Raw genomic sequence first — 17265 nt, forward strand, 5'->3', positions numbered from 1 at the left:
TAAGGCACTTATAAAATAATGCCAAATGCCAATTGAAAAATTACCTGTTTAGTTTCTTTGTTATGATTCCTGATCATTGGGATTGTAGTACTGATTTCTCCAAAAGGACCGTACTTGAGTCATTCAGGCAAATTGTTTTCTTCTGTATTAAATATCTCCAATGAGGAAGGCGAAACTCATTTGTGTGCTAATTTATAACTTTTCACACATGACAATTTCTCCCTTGCTATCTTCTACACACAGTTTAAGACTCAATAATATATTGTCCTGTAGAGCTCTTGGTTTGTATGTCCCCAGATGTATTATGATCTTATTGATGGCAGGGATTGTGTGTTGTATGTTTTCCCAGCATTATACTATGCACATTGGATGCACAATAGTTTTTTTGTTAATTTATTATAGTTTTTCTGAGTTGATTTTTGGTTAAGTTGATTCCTTTGATATCTTTATTTTTCTAGGAATGGGCATTAATACACAGAATCCTCGAATTTCAGGTCCAAACCCCGTGGTTCCGATGCCAACCCTCAGCCCAATGGGAATGACCCAGCCACTTTCTCACTCCAATCAGATGCCCTCTCCAAATGCCGTGGGACCCAACATACCTCCTCATGGGGTCCCAATGGGGCCTGGCTTGATGTCACACAATCCTATCATGGGGCATGGGTCCCAGGAGCCACCGATGGTACCTCAAGGACGGATGGGCTTCCCCCAGGGCTTCCCTCCAGTACAGTCTCCCCCACAGCAGGTTCCATTCCCTCACAATGGCCCCAGTGGGGGGCAGGGCAGCTTCCCAGGAGGGATGGGTTTCCCAGGAGAAGGCCCCCTTGGCCGCCCCAGCAACCTGCCCCAAAGTTCAGCAGATGCAGCACTTTGCAAGCCTGGAGGCCCCGGGGGTCCTGACTCCTTCACTGTCCTGGGGAACAGCATGCCTTCGGTGTTTACAGACCCAGATCTGCAGGAGGTCATCCGACCTGGAGCCACCGGAATACCTGAGTTTGATCTATCCCGCATTATTCCATCTGAGAAGCCCAGCCAGACGCTGCAATATTTCCCTCGAGGGGAAGTTCCAGGCCGTAAACAGCCCCAGGGTCCTGGACCTGGGTTTTCACACATGCAGGGGATGATGGGCGAACAAGCCCCCAGAATGGGACTAGCATTACCTGGCATGGGAGGTCCAGGGCCAGTGGGAACTCCGGACATCCCTCTTGGTACAGCTCCATCCATGCCAGGCCACAACCCCATGAGACCACCAGCCTTTCTCCAACAAGGCATGATGGGACCTCACCATCGGATGATGTCACCAGCACAATCTACAATGCCCGGCCAGCCCACCCTGATGAGCAATCCAGCTGCTGCCGTGGGCATGATTCCTGGCAAGGATCGGGGGCCTGCCGGGCTCTACACCCACCCTGGGCCTGTGGGCTCTCCAGGCATGATGATGTCCATGCAGGGCATGATGGGACCCCAACAGAACATCATGATCCCCCCACAGATGAGGCCCCGGGGCATGGCTGCTGACGTGGGCATGGGTGGATTTAGCCAAGGACCTGGCAACCCAGGAAACATGATGTTTTAAGCTGCTAAGATGGGATGTGCCGATCCTTGTCAAGATGAGATTCCAGGTCCTGAGAGCTGCTTTGAGGGAGTTCCAGGAGTACTTACTATTGGTCATGCAATAGGAGAACAGAGACCCGAGGGCTGCTTTGGGGGAGGGGGGAACTCGAGAATGTATGGATTTACCTGAAAACAAATTATTCATTTAATCAACAGGTGTGTTTTTTTTAAGATTTATTTTTTAAAAATTATTTTTGTGGACTTGGGTATCAATGATGGCACCTACTTTTGGGAATCTGTAGCTGTGCTTTGAGAATTGCCATCGGTCATGTGTTGCACCGTTCTCTGTATGTTTACGTCCTTTGGACTGGCTTCTCCCAGGATTCTTTTCTGTTTTTGTTTTTTTGATTTGGGCTTTATTTTTTTCTGTGTACTGTACTATATTGTAAAAGGGATTTTAGCAGAGACTTTAGTCTTTGGGGCAAGAGGAGAACAGGAATGCTGGGCTGTTTACTTTAGGTGGAGAATCCATCTTCAGACCTTTGGACTATTTTCTTTCAACTGCAGTGTATAGAAAAACCAAACTACGACCTCAGAGCAGAGTATTAATGAAAAGCACAAAAAAAGGAACTAAGTTCAGCGAGGGGTGGGGGGAGGGGGGAGATTTTTCTTTTGAAAAATAATGACTCTTAGGACATTTGTTTTTCAGTTCAAGTGCTCTTCAGCACTGTCTTGTCTCCCAATATACCAACCCACTGGCACATTTTTCTCTTGTTTTCTCTCTCCGATTTTGCTCTGTCTCCTCAGTTAAGTGTTTCCTTCCTTTGTGCCCCCCGCTGGTGACCCTCTGCTTCCCTCTCTCTTTCCCTTTGGCAGCTGCAATACACAGTGTTATTTTGGGGAAATAAATCTAGCAAAGCCTCGCCTTCCATGCCGAGCGTCCTCTTGGCTCTGAGAGGGAAAGGTCTGTCCTTGGGATGCTCTCTGGTCTTTTTTCCCCCTAAGTCTTTCTCTTTCCCATCATACCCTTCCCTGCCCACCTTGTTTTCTGTTCTCCTTTTATTAGGAATTCCCAAGTGAATTTTATTAATGTGGGAGTGGAACAGATGCTAAAAGCTATCCAGGATTTTGTTTCTGTTTGTTTTAAATTTTGTGGTTCCTTCCCTTTCCTCCCCCTCCCATGCGTAAGACGTTCTGTGTAACCTCCATTAAATTTGGTACAAAACCACTCGCCAGAGCTGTGGTGTCAGAAAAATAAAATATATTGTTTCTTACAAAATTGAACTGCCTTTTTTGTTCATTTGGATTCCTGATTGTTTAGTATTGGGCATACCGGTTGCCATGTGACCCAGAAGCGTAGACTCTTTGTATTGGAGTTGATCAGTAAGGTGATGGTTAGGGAAACCACATAAAAGTACCTTCTCAAAGCATATTCCATGCTGTTAAGGAATAACTACTCATGTAGGTTTATTCTGTACTGTTCCTATCTCAGTCATGAAATCCTAGTTATAAGCAGAAGAGCAACCCTGGTCCCATTGCTGAACTTTACCTTTAGGGCAATTAATGGTCTTTATTAGGAATGTTTGTGAGAGCCAGTTTAGTGGTATGAAGTAATTAAGAAGGCCAAAGGTTGTATGTTTAGTTATTTGAATAAGCTATGAGATGTCCCTTGGTCTTGTTAAGGTAGAATATTATTACTATACCTGCAAATTATGGGTTTCCACAGTCCGTGGGTTTCTGTGGTCCTTTCTGGCTCCCCACCTCCCCCTTACCCCATCACCTCTGCTAACGCTGCTCAGTCTTTGTGCACAGTTCACTTCTCACCACACACATCTTCAGCAGATCAGTGTGTATCCTGCAAGGTATGTGCTAATGGACTTGCTGTTGTGCTTCTGTGCAGTTAATTCTGTTCTGGTGTGTGTATTTCTTTGAGTTGTAGGTGTTTTTAGCTCAGTGAGTGGGCGTCTGTGTGCGTGTTTGTTCTTAGGTGAGAGAATCTAAGCGAGGAGCGGCAGGTGCAGAGTCATCTGCAAACAAACTTGTACAAATTGGGCTCTGCTGGTGTTTCACAGTCTGAGCTTTTCTCTCCGACAATTGTTTTGGAGAGCCATTTTCTCTTCCTTTTCAGCAGCCCTGTCTTCTCAGTAACACAAGTGCCCCAGACAACAAAAAATGTGGAGATGAACATTTGAGTACCTACTCTACCAGTCGCCTCCCTGCACTTTATCTTGCTGATTTTTAAGGGGCCCTGTGAAGTGAGTGGTAATGATCTCATTTGCAGATGAGAAAACTTGAGCTCACAAGTTTAAGAATTCTGATTCAATCTGATGTATTCTGTTGGTGCTGGGTAGTGAAACTTTCATGTTGTAGAGAAATTAGGATAGTAAAATGAAGATTTTGTTTCACGAACTTAGCCATGTTTCTGGGTTCTCTGGCTTTAAAGTATATAGATGAGAACAGACTAACAGCCAAGCATGGGCAGCACAAGATGAGAACCTGAAGGAAGGGTCCCACCTGGCATTTGTCTACTGGTCTGGCTTCTTGGGTTGCTCCCCTCCTTGCTGTACCCAACAGTGTTGCAGTCACTAATGGTGTGTGGTCCTGTTGTTACTCTCACAGGCAGGGAGTCAAGGCATAAAAGGTACCCACATAGGAGAGCAGGTACTCACTTAGAGGGCTAGCAAGAGACCGGTGGGTCTGGCTGCTGTGGGCAGCTGGATGTGTGGCACTCCTCTCGCAGCCCCCTGCTGGAGAACTTGGGGCAGTGCAGATCAACTTCCCCACCTGAGTTTTTAAAATACCCCATCATACAACTTCATTCACTTTATCAGCACATGCCATTTCATCACGATAATGTCTGACAAGCCAAATTTAGGGTCTAAATACAACAATTTATCATTTACTAAGATTGTTATAAAATAAAATTACCTTTAGAGAGACTGGATGCTAGTGCATGGAGAACTGATGCAAGATTTTTTAAAAATCAGTGGAAGAGTGATGAAAGATGTTTCATATTAACATATTCCTGTGAAAGCCCAGCCAATCTTCTCTCTTTCCTCTCCTGAAGTTTGGGACTGAATGGAGAAAATGCAGTAGTGACTTGTTCACTTCAGGGGAAAGTGGTGGAGTGTGTGTGGCTCATAGCATTTGTTAAGGACTAACTAGAAGTATGTAGCATTTTCCCTGAAACAATGTAAAATAAAATAATTTACTTTAGAAACGATTCTGCACTTATACATGAAAACAGACATAATTATAGGGGTCTTATGAAGGAGGCGGCATGAGAAAATAAATTGAAAACAATTTTACATATTTAAAGCTACTCCTTAAAAAATGGATCCAACATTTCTCCCAGCCTCCCTGCGCTCTATACTTCTTGATATTATCATCACAACGCAACTGTGGTCATCTGTGCCACCTGTGCAGTTGGACAGGACTCCGGCTTGGTTTAATGCTCCGCTGTCACTGTTTGGAGTTCTTAATTATTGAATAGGGGCTCCACATTTCCATTTCGCCCTGGGTCCCACAGATTGCTTAGCCAGGCTGTTGTAAACAGAAATCACAACAGCTCCACAGAGGTGCTGGGACCTCAGTCTCCATATTTATTCTTTCTCCTTAACTAGTGGCCAGGAGCACCTCAGGCAGGGTACTTGCTGTGTTCCGCTTAAACTGTCTACACTTCAGTCATTTCCTTTTCCTTTTCTGAGTAATTTCAGGGTGCTGAAAGGAGAGGGAAGTTGCATTTTAACCCGAGGACTCATTATTTAGCAAATATTTATAGAGCACCTACTGTGTATCAAGAACTGTGCAAAGGCTGGGATGTGGAAACAGGTGTGTAAACCAGTTATTGCGATGTAATATGATGATTGCTACAGTGAAGGTGTGGACAGGGCGCAATGGGCCAGAAAGGAAAATTCAATGAATCCTCAAAGGAAAGGTGATTTTTTGAACTGACTCTTAAAGGAGAGAGCATTCCTGGAGGATGGTGGTGAGCACTGAAGCAGAGGAAATGGGAACAGCAAGGGCTTGCTGATGGGATGGCCTCTTTAAGGGAGGAAGAAGTAAAGAAGTAAGAAATAAGCCTAGGCCGGGCGCGGTGGCTCACGCCTGTAATCCCAGCACTTTGGGAGGCCGAGGTGGGCGGATCATGAGGTCAGGAGATCGAGACCATCCTGGCTAACATAGTGAAACCCCATCTCTACTAAAAATACAAAAAATTAGCCAGGCGTAGTGGCGGGCGCCTGTAGTCCCAGCTACTCGGGAGGCTGAGGCAGGAGAATGGCGTGAACCTGGGAGGCGGAGCTTGCAGTGAGCCGAGATCGCGCCACTGCACTCCAGCCTGGGCGACAGAGCGAGACTCCGTCTCAAAAAAAAAGAAAAGAAATAAGCCTAGAGAGAGAGTGGATCACAGAGAGCCCAGTGTGGCCCACTAAAGAGTTTGAACTTCAAAGTTTTAAGCAAAGGATCAGGTGATCAGATTGTGGAAGATAGCCTGGGGGCGGGGTGAGAGAACCACAGGAAGATCACTTGCAAAAATTTGCTTATTCTACAAAATCCTCAGACTCATCTCTTTTGCTTGAAATAACATTAAATTGTATCATATTTCCCATGCTGTTTAGGCAACTTGAGCCTCACTGCCACTTTCTTTTCTCTAACTCAGACCTGTAATTTTTTTCAAAGTCACAAACCCTTACATTTAAGAAAAGTCATGGAATCCTAATTTGGTGGTAAGATTTTAATAACACATTTAAAGCAATAAGTATATAAAGCACAAAACCAGTGGGTGGCCAAACATTTCCTATTGGAGGGAGCTAAATCATAAAAATAATGTTAAAAGGAAGGTATGCTATAAGGATTGTAATAAAAGTTGTCTCTATTTAACATGGCTTCTTATTTGGGTTACTGTTAAACAGACACGAATCTATTTTCTGCCTATAGGTGACCCCACTTCAGCTGTTAACTTTCTGTCTCAGTGCTTAATTGTGCTTGGTAATCAATACTGTCAGAGGAAGACGGTGAGTGTATGTATGACCATAGAAAGAGAAAATAAACAGAAGAACCAGAAATTATTTCCTCACACATAGTTAAAGCATGGGAAAATTCAGTTATTTCACCAAACACGAAAGAAACCAGATTTCTCTTGCAAAATACCTGCTTAGTGTCCACGAACAATTATGTGGGTACCCTGGGGTTCCAAAGAACAGGTTAAAGAGACCCAGCCCTAGGAAACTGCATGTCTTCACCGGGGCCAGCTGGGCGTGTTGCTGTGTGGCTCTGGGCGGCTGGGTTTCTCATACCTCAGCACCTGCACCTAGACCAGCAACTCCCTCTCATGAGGGGCTGACCCGCAGCTCTGTGCTAGCCACACTCTTCCATTCTCCAGAGGCTGGAGCCAGGGTCAAGGGCAGAAACAGCTTACAAATCTCAGTTATATCCAGTGTCCAATTAATTAGTGTTGAGGGTGAATTTAGTTTTCAATAATCTTTTTGTTTTCTACAGCCGAAGTTCTCTTTATTAAAGACCCCAGGAGCTCATGTTTGTTTCTCATCTTTACCAAGCTTCCAGGAGCTTTCATTTTCCTCACTTCCCACATAGAAGCTCAACAGCTACCCCATGAGCTGTTTTCCCTGGAGACTCCTGCCCATCCCCATGAATCAATCTGTGATCTAAGGCCACGCTTTTGGCGGTGCTTTACGGGCTCTGGAGTACTGGCTTCTGGCTGCTCGGTTCTCAGCGTCAAATGAAGACAAGGGCTGCGTCTGGCACCTTGCTAGAAACTGAGTCATTGTTATTGGGTTCAGTCAAAATGTATTTGATTACAGGGGATGGTGGATTACTGTGATTTATTTTGTTCTCCAAACTGCAGAAGATCTCCTGGGCTTTGGTAAAATTCTCTAGGATAGCTGTGAGTAGTCGAGCTATTGAAAACTTTTATACACACATATACACATACAGATTTACTTATACACATGTATATGTACCTTAATATATGAAAGTATGTAAATAATTAAATGCCAGTTTTGAAATGTCAACACTGCAATGAAGAGTAGTTTGCTTTTTCCTTGTCAATGAGGCTGGAAAAGCCCTAGAATTTTCTTCATTCCTGTTATGCTTGCTACCTGCAAGTCCTTTAAAATAAAATCATCATTATTTAAAAGTGTGATAATACCAATGAGGAAATACAAGGATCACTTCCATACAAAGGAAGAACCAGGCCCAGGAGAGAAATTATCTGACAGGCACCTCAAACTTAACATGTCTTAAACTTAACCTCTGAATTTCTCTCACATCTTATCTCCACACCCCACTTCCCCATCACAGTAAATGACATTATATCCATCCCCTAGTTTTCATATCAGACACCTGGGACTCATTCCTAATTCTTTACTCCTCATGTAAAACCATCAGCAAATCCTTTCATGCCAATTTCCAAAACATATCTTAAATCCATGCACTTTTCTTCATCACTCTAGATGAAGTTACTATCTTTCACCTCATTTATTACGTGTTTGTTTGTTTTTTAACCAGTATTTTCACTCTAGCTCTTCAGTCTATTCTCCACAATATAAACAAAGTAACCTTAAAAAGTATGAATTGGCTGGACACTGTGGCTCACGCCTGTAATCCCTGCACTTTGGGAGGCCGAGGTGGGTGGGTCACAAGGTCAAGAGATCGAGACCATCCTGGCCAACATGGTGAAACCCCGTCTCTACTAAAAATACAAAAATTAGCGGGGCTTGGTGGCACACACCGGCAGTCCCAGCTACTCAGGAGGCTAAGGCAGGAGAATCGCTTGAACCCAGGAGGCGGAGGCTGCAGTGAGCTGAGATCGTGCCACTGCACTCCAGCCTGGGCGACAGAGTGAGACTCTGTCTTAAAACAACAACAACAACAACAAAAAAAACAGTATGAATCACACCACTTTCTTCCTTAAGACCCTTTCATGGCTTCCTAATGTAATTAGTATGAAACCCAAGATTTTTGGCAGGACTGCCAGGCCCCAGCGCCTCTCCAGTTTTGCTTCATGCCCTTCCCCCACCCACTGTGCTCCAGCCGAACCATGCTAATTTCAGTATCTCCAGCGTGCCAAGGCCTTCTTGCCACAGGACCTTACCCACACCAGTTCTTTGGCCTGGCATACTTGACTCCAGGCTTTCCCAATGGCTGGCTTCTCCATGCCCCTCAGGTCTCAGCTTATTTGTCATCTCCTCAGAGAGGTCTTCTCTGAGTACCCTGTCAAATACCTACCTATGCCCAACACACACACACACACACACACACACACACCATCATTTTGTATCACGACTCTGTTTGTATCCTTCATAGCAATTATGTATTTTATCTTGCCCACTGTGTGAAGTCAGGAGCCAAATTTTTCTTGCTCATCACTTGTTCACCAGCATCTGGCATAGTGTCTGCACTCTATCAAAGATCAGTAAATAGCTGTTAAATAAATGAGAGGGAAGAAGGATCCATATGAGCTTGGGTGGCCAGGAAAGATTTCATGCTGGTTGTGGTACATGAGGTGGACCCTATAATGAGGCTGGGGGTGGAGGACACACAGAGAACAACACGAATGAGGAAATGGCAGTGGGAATGGACGGATAAAGAAAAGCAGGCCAAATGACAGCGAAGGGAACAGCTTAAACAAAATTGATCATGTGCACAATAGAATGTGAAATTGAAAAGGGAGGGAAGAATGAATAGCCCCAAAAGCCAAGAAAAGGAATTTCATCTTGATATGGGAAACAATTGGGACCCACTCTTTGGTCTTAATCAGAGGACTTACATGCTAAGTGTTTTATCAAGTGAGTCTGGCAGGGGCAAGCAGGATGGATTGAAGCAAGGACAGGCTGGAAGAGCTGACTGGAAGCACGCACCTATTCTGGGGTTGAGGAGGTGAGGCTCCTGGCGATTCAGTGGAGAGTAAAGGGTGAAGCAAAGACAGCTGTGAAGGAAGAACCCCCAAGACTTCATTGGATAATGGGGACAATCACTGGAGAAGAGGTAGGAATCAAACACGATGTGGTGATTTTGAGACTGAGAAGCTGAAAGAAAGGTAGAATCGTGGTGTTGGAAGAGGCCATCCTACTGCCCTAAGTATCCCTGACAGGTGGCCAGCACCTCCACTTGAGCCGTCCGATAATGGGAGCCCATTCTATTGAACATCATTAGCTCTAATATTTAGAAAATTCTGCCGCCTAATGAATCAGGCTTCTTTTAGTTTTTTGCCCATTCATCCCAATTCTGACTGTAGGAGTAAATACAGAATAAGAGCAGTCCTTCTTTCTCATCCCAGCCCTTCAGATAGTTGAAAACAGTTATTACTTCCCTCCTAATTTTCTTTTTCCCAAGCTAAATGCCCTGGTCCATCAATTAAGACCAATGAGATCAGGTTTTGAGTTCCCTAACTGCCCTCATAGTTTTATCTTGTTTTATCACAGTTTACACATACCTTGAAAGAAGAAATAAAGTGTTTGGTGCCCCAGTACTATCTGATCAGCAGAGAGCACAGTGAGACTATTACTTTCTTTTATCTGAGCACAATTTCACTAATAGGCAAAAGTTTCTTTTTTTTTTTTTAACTGCTATGGAGTTATATTGGAATTTTAGGAAATGAAAACCCCAAGATCTTTTTCATGTAAAAAAAGTCATCACTCCTAATCCTGTGTATTATTTTGCTTATTTTTATCCTATATTCAGAATTCTAGTTATTCCTATTTAATTTCAATATTCATTCTGATCTGTTGTTCCACAGTCTGAAAGTCCTTAGAAACTTATTCTAACAATCTTTATATTGGTTCTAACTTTTCTATCAAAAGCAAAGCTGGTAATATTTTCATCAAAGTGATACAAGAACCCAGGATAAAAACCTGGAGCTCATAACTGAGGTGCTTTTTTCACCCATTTAAAAAAATTGTGGTAAAAAAATACAGCAAAAAATTGACCATTTTAACCATTTTTAAGTATACATTAATGTGTTATGGCTTTAAGTACATTCACATTGTTGTGCAATCATAATCGCCATCCATCTCCACAACTTTTTCATCATGTAAAATTCTAACTTTGTACCCATTAAACAATAACCCCATTTCTCCCTCTGAAGTTTCTGAGGAATTGCCATACTGTTGTCCACAAGTGCTGCACCATTTTGCATTCCCACTAAGAATGTACAAGGGTTCCAATTTCTCTAGATTCTTATCAACATTTATTATTTTTGTTTGTTTTCTCATTGTGGTTTTGGTTTGCATTTCTCTGATGAGTGACGTTGAGCATCTTTTCATGTGCTTACTGGCCATTTGTGTATCCTCCATGGAGAAATGTGTATTCAAGTCCTTGGCCCGTTTTTTGATGAGGATTTTTGGTGGTGGTTGTGTTGTAGGAGTTCTTTAAATCTTCTGGATATTAATTCCTCATCAGATAAATGATTTTCAAATATTTTCTCCCATTCCATGGGGTGCCTTTTCACTCTGTTGATTGTGTCCTTTGATGCCTAAAAGTTTTTTTTTTAATTTTGATAAAATCCAACTTATCTATATTTTCTTTCCTTGCCTGGGCTTTTGGTATCATATCCAAGAAATCACTGTGAAATATAATGTCATAAAGCTTTTCCCCTGTGTTGTCTTCTAAGATTTTATAGTTAGAGCTAATCTTTAGAGTGACATCAATTCAGAAATTTTTAAATGTTTTAAATATACTTGTGTAATCACTTATAATTCTACCTCTTATCATCCAGCTCACATTCTCCATCTACCTATTGAGTAATTGGCTCTTTGATTGATTCATCAGTCTCTACAAGGCTAGGAACTGTGGATGCAGCAGTGAACTGGTCAGGAGTGGTCCCACCCTGAGCTCATCAAACCCAGAGTCTATTGAAGAAGTCAAACACTGAATAAGCAATTATAAGCACAGTCATGGCATGAAAGAAAAGGAAGCTGCCCACATTGAAGACAGGGAAGTGCAACCTAAAATATTTTATCAAATTTCCTGAGAATCTTCTATCTACTGGTCTGTTAACCCAAAGGAGAAAGGAAATAGTTCAGCCAAGTACTAATAATGATTGCTGCTTTCTTTCCTAAGTGCTCCACAGACTTTTCCTTTGTTTAAAAGTCCACTCTAGACCAAGGAGCTCTCCAGTCCTTAAATTCTGGAGTCTATCATTTTATGGGTTTTAAAAACTAGGGCCACATTTGCCTTTGTATTTTGGTTCTTTGAGACTAGAAATCTGAGAGTATCTTCATTTCTCATAGATTACTGTCTGAAGTGACATCTATAACTTAACTTTTTATCTACTCCAGGGTATTACCTACCAAATAGGAAGATCCGAACTCATTGACATCAACCAGGTGCTGTCCTCACTGCTCTAAGATTTCAATCCCTCCCAGCAATCTTGGGCCATTTGTGGCTTAAAGGTAGATTCTGTTGTTAGGAAAGACTTACTAGGAAAGAGAGGGATTTGGATTTAACTGCTTTCATTTTCTCTCTCTCCTCTATTAAATCTTCTCCCCCAGACGCTGAGCCTATCTTTTACTTCTTCATTACTTTTTTTCTCAGAATACAGCTTAAGAGCCCTTAGCTTCCTCTTCCTGTCCCAATCTTGCCCAAGCTTCTAGTATTATCATGAGTAAAAATTAGGGAAGTTGGGGAGAAGTCCTTGTTGGGGTTGAGGGAGTGTTGAGTATGAAATGATGAAGTGGTGTCTATGTGTGGACAGTTGGAAATAAGAGACAGGGATGAATGAGCAGTTTGGACTAGATATGGAGATGTGAATTCCTCCACATGGAGATGAATATAGATTATTTCTCTATGGGAGTGAGAGAATAGAGAGCCAAGTGGAGGGCCAAGAACTCAGTCATGAGGGATTGGCACAGTCCGCAGGCAGGAAGAAGTTCCAGCAAAAGAAACTGAAATTCACAGAATAGGAAGAAAACAGAAATGATCTAGCCCACCTCTCCCATCTAACTGATGAGGAAATGGTTGTCCAGATAAAAATGAATCAGTGACTAAGGCAGCTATGAAAATATAGAGTTGCATAAGTCCTGAGGGGTTGGGGGAGTGGCTTTCAAGAAATAGGAGGTGGTCCACAGGGCCAAATACTTCTGATCAATCAAAAAAGGTGAGGAAACTAACGATGGTACTTGAAATTGATTAATGTGTTGGTCTCCCAGAGTGTAGCTGTGGTAAAGCAGAAGACAGAGAAACCTAAGCATGTGGGGGAAAGGGTGTAAATGTGAAAGAGGCAAAGAGATACTGAGTTATACATGCTCAGTACGTTTGGCAGTACCAGGCAAGAGAAATAGGATGGTTAGATAGAAGAAAAATATAAATAAGCAAAGTTTAAGACAACAGAAGTACTACTAATTTAAGACAGAAAGGAAGGAACCAATTGAGTGGGAAGGATTGAGGACACAAAAGAAGTCCTGCCATCTTTGGCAGGAAGATCACAAGAAGCGGGACAGGAACTGAAGCACAGGTAGCGGTAAGCTTTGGGGAAAGAAAGATACCAGAAGTGAAAGGAGAAAGGTGCCATGTGTGATGAAGCAGATAAAGCAAAGAGACAAAGGGACACATCCCGGAAGCCAGATGTGCAGATATGGAAGGAAAACATGCTGATCCTCAGGTCAAAGGTGAAAGTTTGAGTCCTGCCTCTGCCTCTCCCTGGATATTTGACTTTGATCTCTTTGAGCTGGCTGCTTCACATTTGGATGTCATAGGCTTTTTGTGAAACTGTTATCGGACAACATGTGTGTATGCCTAGTATGAGTTATCAGAGCATTTTTGAGAGATGCCTTAGGCTGTAATGCAAAAAGATATGAAATGGCTGCTCTGGTAAATTAGAAAGCTCACAAGATACACCAGCTGGGCAGTAAGAGGGTTCTAGCTGAAGCAGAAAATCATGATTCTTCTTTCAGAAGGGACACCCAGGGACCCCTCTTGCTGCCCTCCTGGGCACTGAAAGGTAGCACAGAAAAGCCATAGAGAAAGAAGCACCACAGTGGAAATTCCATGATGGGATGGTGGTGGCCACAGCAGGAAGGCATTTTCAAGAGCTACTGGAGTCCCCAGGCCCAGCCAGCCCAAGGTGGGGATAACAGCAACACTTTAATAAGGTTACACTGGGGTCACCAGATTCTCAAGCACTTCTCTCCTCCTGCTTTTAAAGTTCAGAATCATCTAATTAGAGGACCAAACTCCATCCCTGACCACATGAAAAGCAAAATGAGGCCTGACTCTGACTCAAACTGTTCACAGAGAATGAAGGATGCTGTGGAATCCTAGAACTTCAGATTCTCATGGTAGGCAGGGACTGGCCCGTGTGTGACCCTCTACAATACTTTGCCTAATGCCAGTGTAAGCTTATAAAAGAACCCTCTAAGGTAGCCCAATTCATCCATGGTCAGCTCTGATTATTTCAAAGGTTTTCCTTATGTTGATCTCAAGTCTATACATCCCTGCAACTTACACAATACTGTTCTGCGTGTGGTCCTCAGTGCCCACATAAATCAAATATTTGATATGCCCTCTGTCTCTTTGATCCCTTCCTCTTGATGGTCTTTCTCCAATTGACAAGCTTGTCTAGCTCTGCTACCAAGTCTGGCTCTCAGATCTGAGAACAGTTCCCTGGCTGTGCTCTGAACTGTGCAGGATGGAACATCACTTCCTTCATTCCAGTACCAGGATAGCCATTGCACATTTAGGATTTTGAGGAACACATCATACTATGGATTCACACTGAACAAATCCCTCACTAAAACCCCTCTTCAGTTGTGGGCAACTGATTTTGAGGCCCCAAGATCAGAACTCTGCATTTGTCTCCATTAAGTTCCATCTTAAAATATTTGGCCTAGGATCTAAAACTGATATCAGCACAAACATATCTAAGACATCTATCATTTATTCATTCATTCAATTAGTCATCCAGTAAGTGATTTTCCCCAGTTGTATGTCTTCAGTAAATGTGGCCAGTCTGCACCCTGTATCTTTACTCAGTTGTATTTTATGCAAATCTTTGAAAAAAACGTGTCCAACAGGGCAAAGGCCTATCATACAACATGGAACACTTCCCTGAAGAACAGCTGACCACTGAATTAGTTTCTTTATTAATTCAGCAAATTCATTCAGTAAGTACAAATTGAGTCCCTACTACATGCCAGGTTATGATCTACAGATAGCATCCAGCATGTTCACTGCATACAGCAGTGAACCAACCAGACAAGGTTCCTGCTTTTTGCAGAGAAGGTTACAAGGGATAATAAACACTTAAAAACAAATAATCGCTAATATTGTTTAGCTTGCCTATGTGCCAGCCATTGTTCTAAATGCTTTATGTGTTTATTCCTCACAAAGCCTTATGAGGTAAATACTCTTCTTGTTCCCATTTTATAGATTAAAATGCAGAGAAGTTGTCACTTGCTCAAGGTCATATGGATCCTAAAGGATGGAGCATCAACCTGGGTAGTCTATCTGTAGAGCCTGTGTGTTTAACCACTGGGCTTCTACTGTGTCTCTGTAGAAATAAACACTCAATTAAATATATATGTATATACATATATTCCCATGTGAGAGAGGGTGATATTTAAGCTGAGATCTAAAATGACAAGAGGCAGCCAACTCCTTGAGATCTAGCGGGAGAGCAAAAGGGAGTGTGGTGGAGGATGAGGCTGGAGAGGTGGGCAGGGGGCCTATTCCATGAGGCCTTGTATACCAGGGATTGGGGCTCCAGTAATTTAACCAGTGGTGAACATGCCTAGTTGCTTCAGTATCCAGCCCATACATACCCATCTTGTCCACAAATATACTGCGAACAATTTCCTTTCCTGATCCCCATACATGATCAAAGGACATTCCCTTTATACTCCAAACCATTACCTTCCAGTCTTCACCATCAGTGTGGCACAGAAAAATACACTGGTTTTTGCTTTTGTTTTTGTTTTTTTGAGACAGAGTCTTGCTCTGTCACCCAGGCTAGAGTGCAGTGGCACGAACACGGGCCACCACAGCCTTGACTTCCCACGCCCAAGTGATCCTCCCACCTCAGCCTCATGAGTAGCTGAGACTACAGGCACTTGCCACCACGTAAAGCTGAATTTTAAATTTTTTGTAGAGATGAGGTTTTGCCATGTTGCTCAGGCTAGCCTCGAACCCCTGGGCTCAAGCGATCCTCTGACCTCAGCCTCTCAGAGTGCTAGGATTACAGGTGTGAGCCACCTGGCCAAGATGTACAATCGCAGTTCAGAATCCATTAAATCTCCATGGTGCTATATGACCTTGGCCAAGCCACAGGCTCTCTGATCTTCAGTTTCCAGGGATATTTCCCCATTGTTCCATAATGTTACCTTACTCCTAGAACTGAACCCCTGAGGTATTCAGCATTTTGGAATTTTTGACCTAGAGAACAACCATTCCTTCAACCTTTCCCCTTCCTGATCTCTTCCATTCTTCTCTGTGCAAGGCCCAGGTAAGCTGTGCCTACCTTTATGCAGCTGGCTTCAGTTACTAACAGCTCCAGGGACTGCTCTCTCATCTCCCAAAAGCCCTGCTGGTTTGACCCCATCAAGTTCTACTTACCCAAGTGTTATACAACCCTCCCCTTAATTACACACTCAATCAGTTCCTCCCAAGCTCAGCAATTTGTGGTCTCTGGGCATCCCCCAGCTGCTTTTCCGGAGGTAGCTCCCAGGCTGGGTCCTGGCAAGCCTCTGAAGCACTGCTTGGGTTTTTAAGGCCATGGTACCCAGAGTTGAAAGCCTTGCTGTTATTTCACACTCTATTTCCTTCCAAATTAATTCTCTGATGAATACTGTCCTTTGCAGTGATTCAGTGCAGGCCATTTCCTTACATCTTTCCCCTACCTTTGAGACTTTTAATCTCTCTCAAATCCAGATTTTCCTTTGTGAAAGGCTTGCCTCAGAGAAAAATGCCCTGCTTTCCTACCAATATAAACAGCTCTACCAACACTGGCCCCAGCCTCCCGGCACACTCCCTTTACTGCTTGACTTAGCTATTCCTTTGATTTCAAAGCACACATACTTGCCTTCTCTAAAAATCTCTGTACAACACAGAGCAACTCAAACTTCTTGGCTTACAGTAAGCTGCTGGACCCTAGTTTCCTTAAGCCCCAAATACAAGAAGATGCAGGTTCAAAACTTGTATCTGAGGAGGTAGCACCTTCCATACCCTTTCACATGGTTATTTTGCTTACATCCCCCTCCCCTAACCCCAGCAGATAGTATCACCATCCTTCCATGTGGATAAACAGAAACTCTGCCATGCTAAAGGAGTTGCCCAAGGTCACAGGGCCCAGGAAAGTGGTAAAACTGGAATCCAAATCCCTGGCTCTTATCTCCAAGGTAGGTGCTTCTTTCAGCATCCTTCATGTGGCTTAAACACCCCTGAAACAGCCTAGTCTTCAGCCACCAAGATCTTACCACCCAGGGGCAAGCCATCTAGGTCCGCAGGCACCCACTGCCCACAGCCCTGAGGAATGCTCCGGAGGAGCCACAAAGAGGCTCCTCTGGCATAGCAGGAGCAATGGCTTATATTTGTATAACACTTTTCATATTAGGAAGTGCTTTCCATACCTAATCTATGTCATTCCTAGGATAATTCCATGAGGGAGATGCTATATTAGAGTCCCATTGCACAAATAAAGATATACAGGCTTATCAACAGGAAATTAATGGACTTGCCCAAAGTCACACAGGTAGTAGG

The 17265-nt window shown here is 43.3% G+C and overlaps 2 protein-coding genes across 2 annotated transcripts in view; one reads left to right on the top strand and one right to left on the bottom strand.

Moving 5' to 3' along the window:
• The window catches only part of BCL9 (BCL9 transcription coactivator), an 84716-nt gene extending 81883 nt beyond the window's left edge, over window positions 1-2833 (top strand). The window contains exon 10 of the mRNA NM_004326.4: window positions 459-2833. Within this exon, the coding sequence (NP_004317.2) occupies window positions 459-1576 (1118 nt within the window). The 3' untranslated portion in view covers window positions 1577-2833. The remainder of the gene's footprint in view (window positions 1-458) is intronic.
• Window positions 6275-17265, bottom strand: part of ACP6 (acid phosphatase 6, lysophosphatidic) — a 40867-nt gene continuing 29876 nt past the window's right edge. The window contains exon 10 of the mRNA XM_011509601.4: window positions 6275-7682. Within this exon, the coding sequence (XP_011507903.1) occupies window positions 7620-7682 (63 nt within the window). The 3' untranslated portion in view covers window positions 6275-7619. The remainder of the gene's footprint in view (window positions 7683-17265) is intronic.

The sequence above is a fragment of the Homo sapiens genome, chromosome 1 (genome assembly GCF_000001405.40).
Source record: "Homo sapiens chromosome 1, GRCh38.p14 Primary Assembly".
NCBI classification, from domain to species: Eukaryota; Metazoa; Chordata; class Mammalia; order Primates; family Hominidae; genus Homo; species Homo sapiens.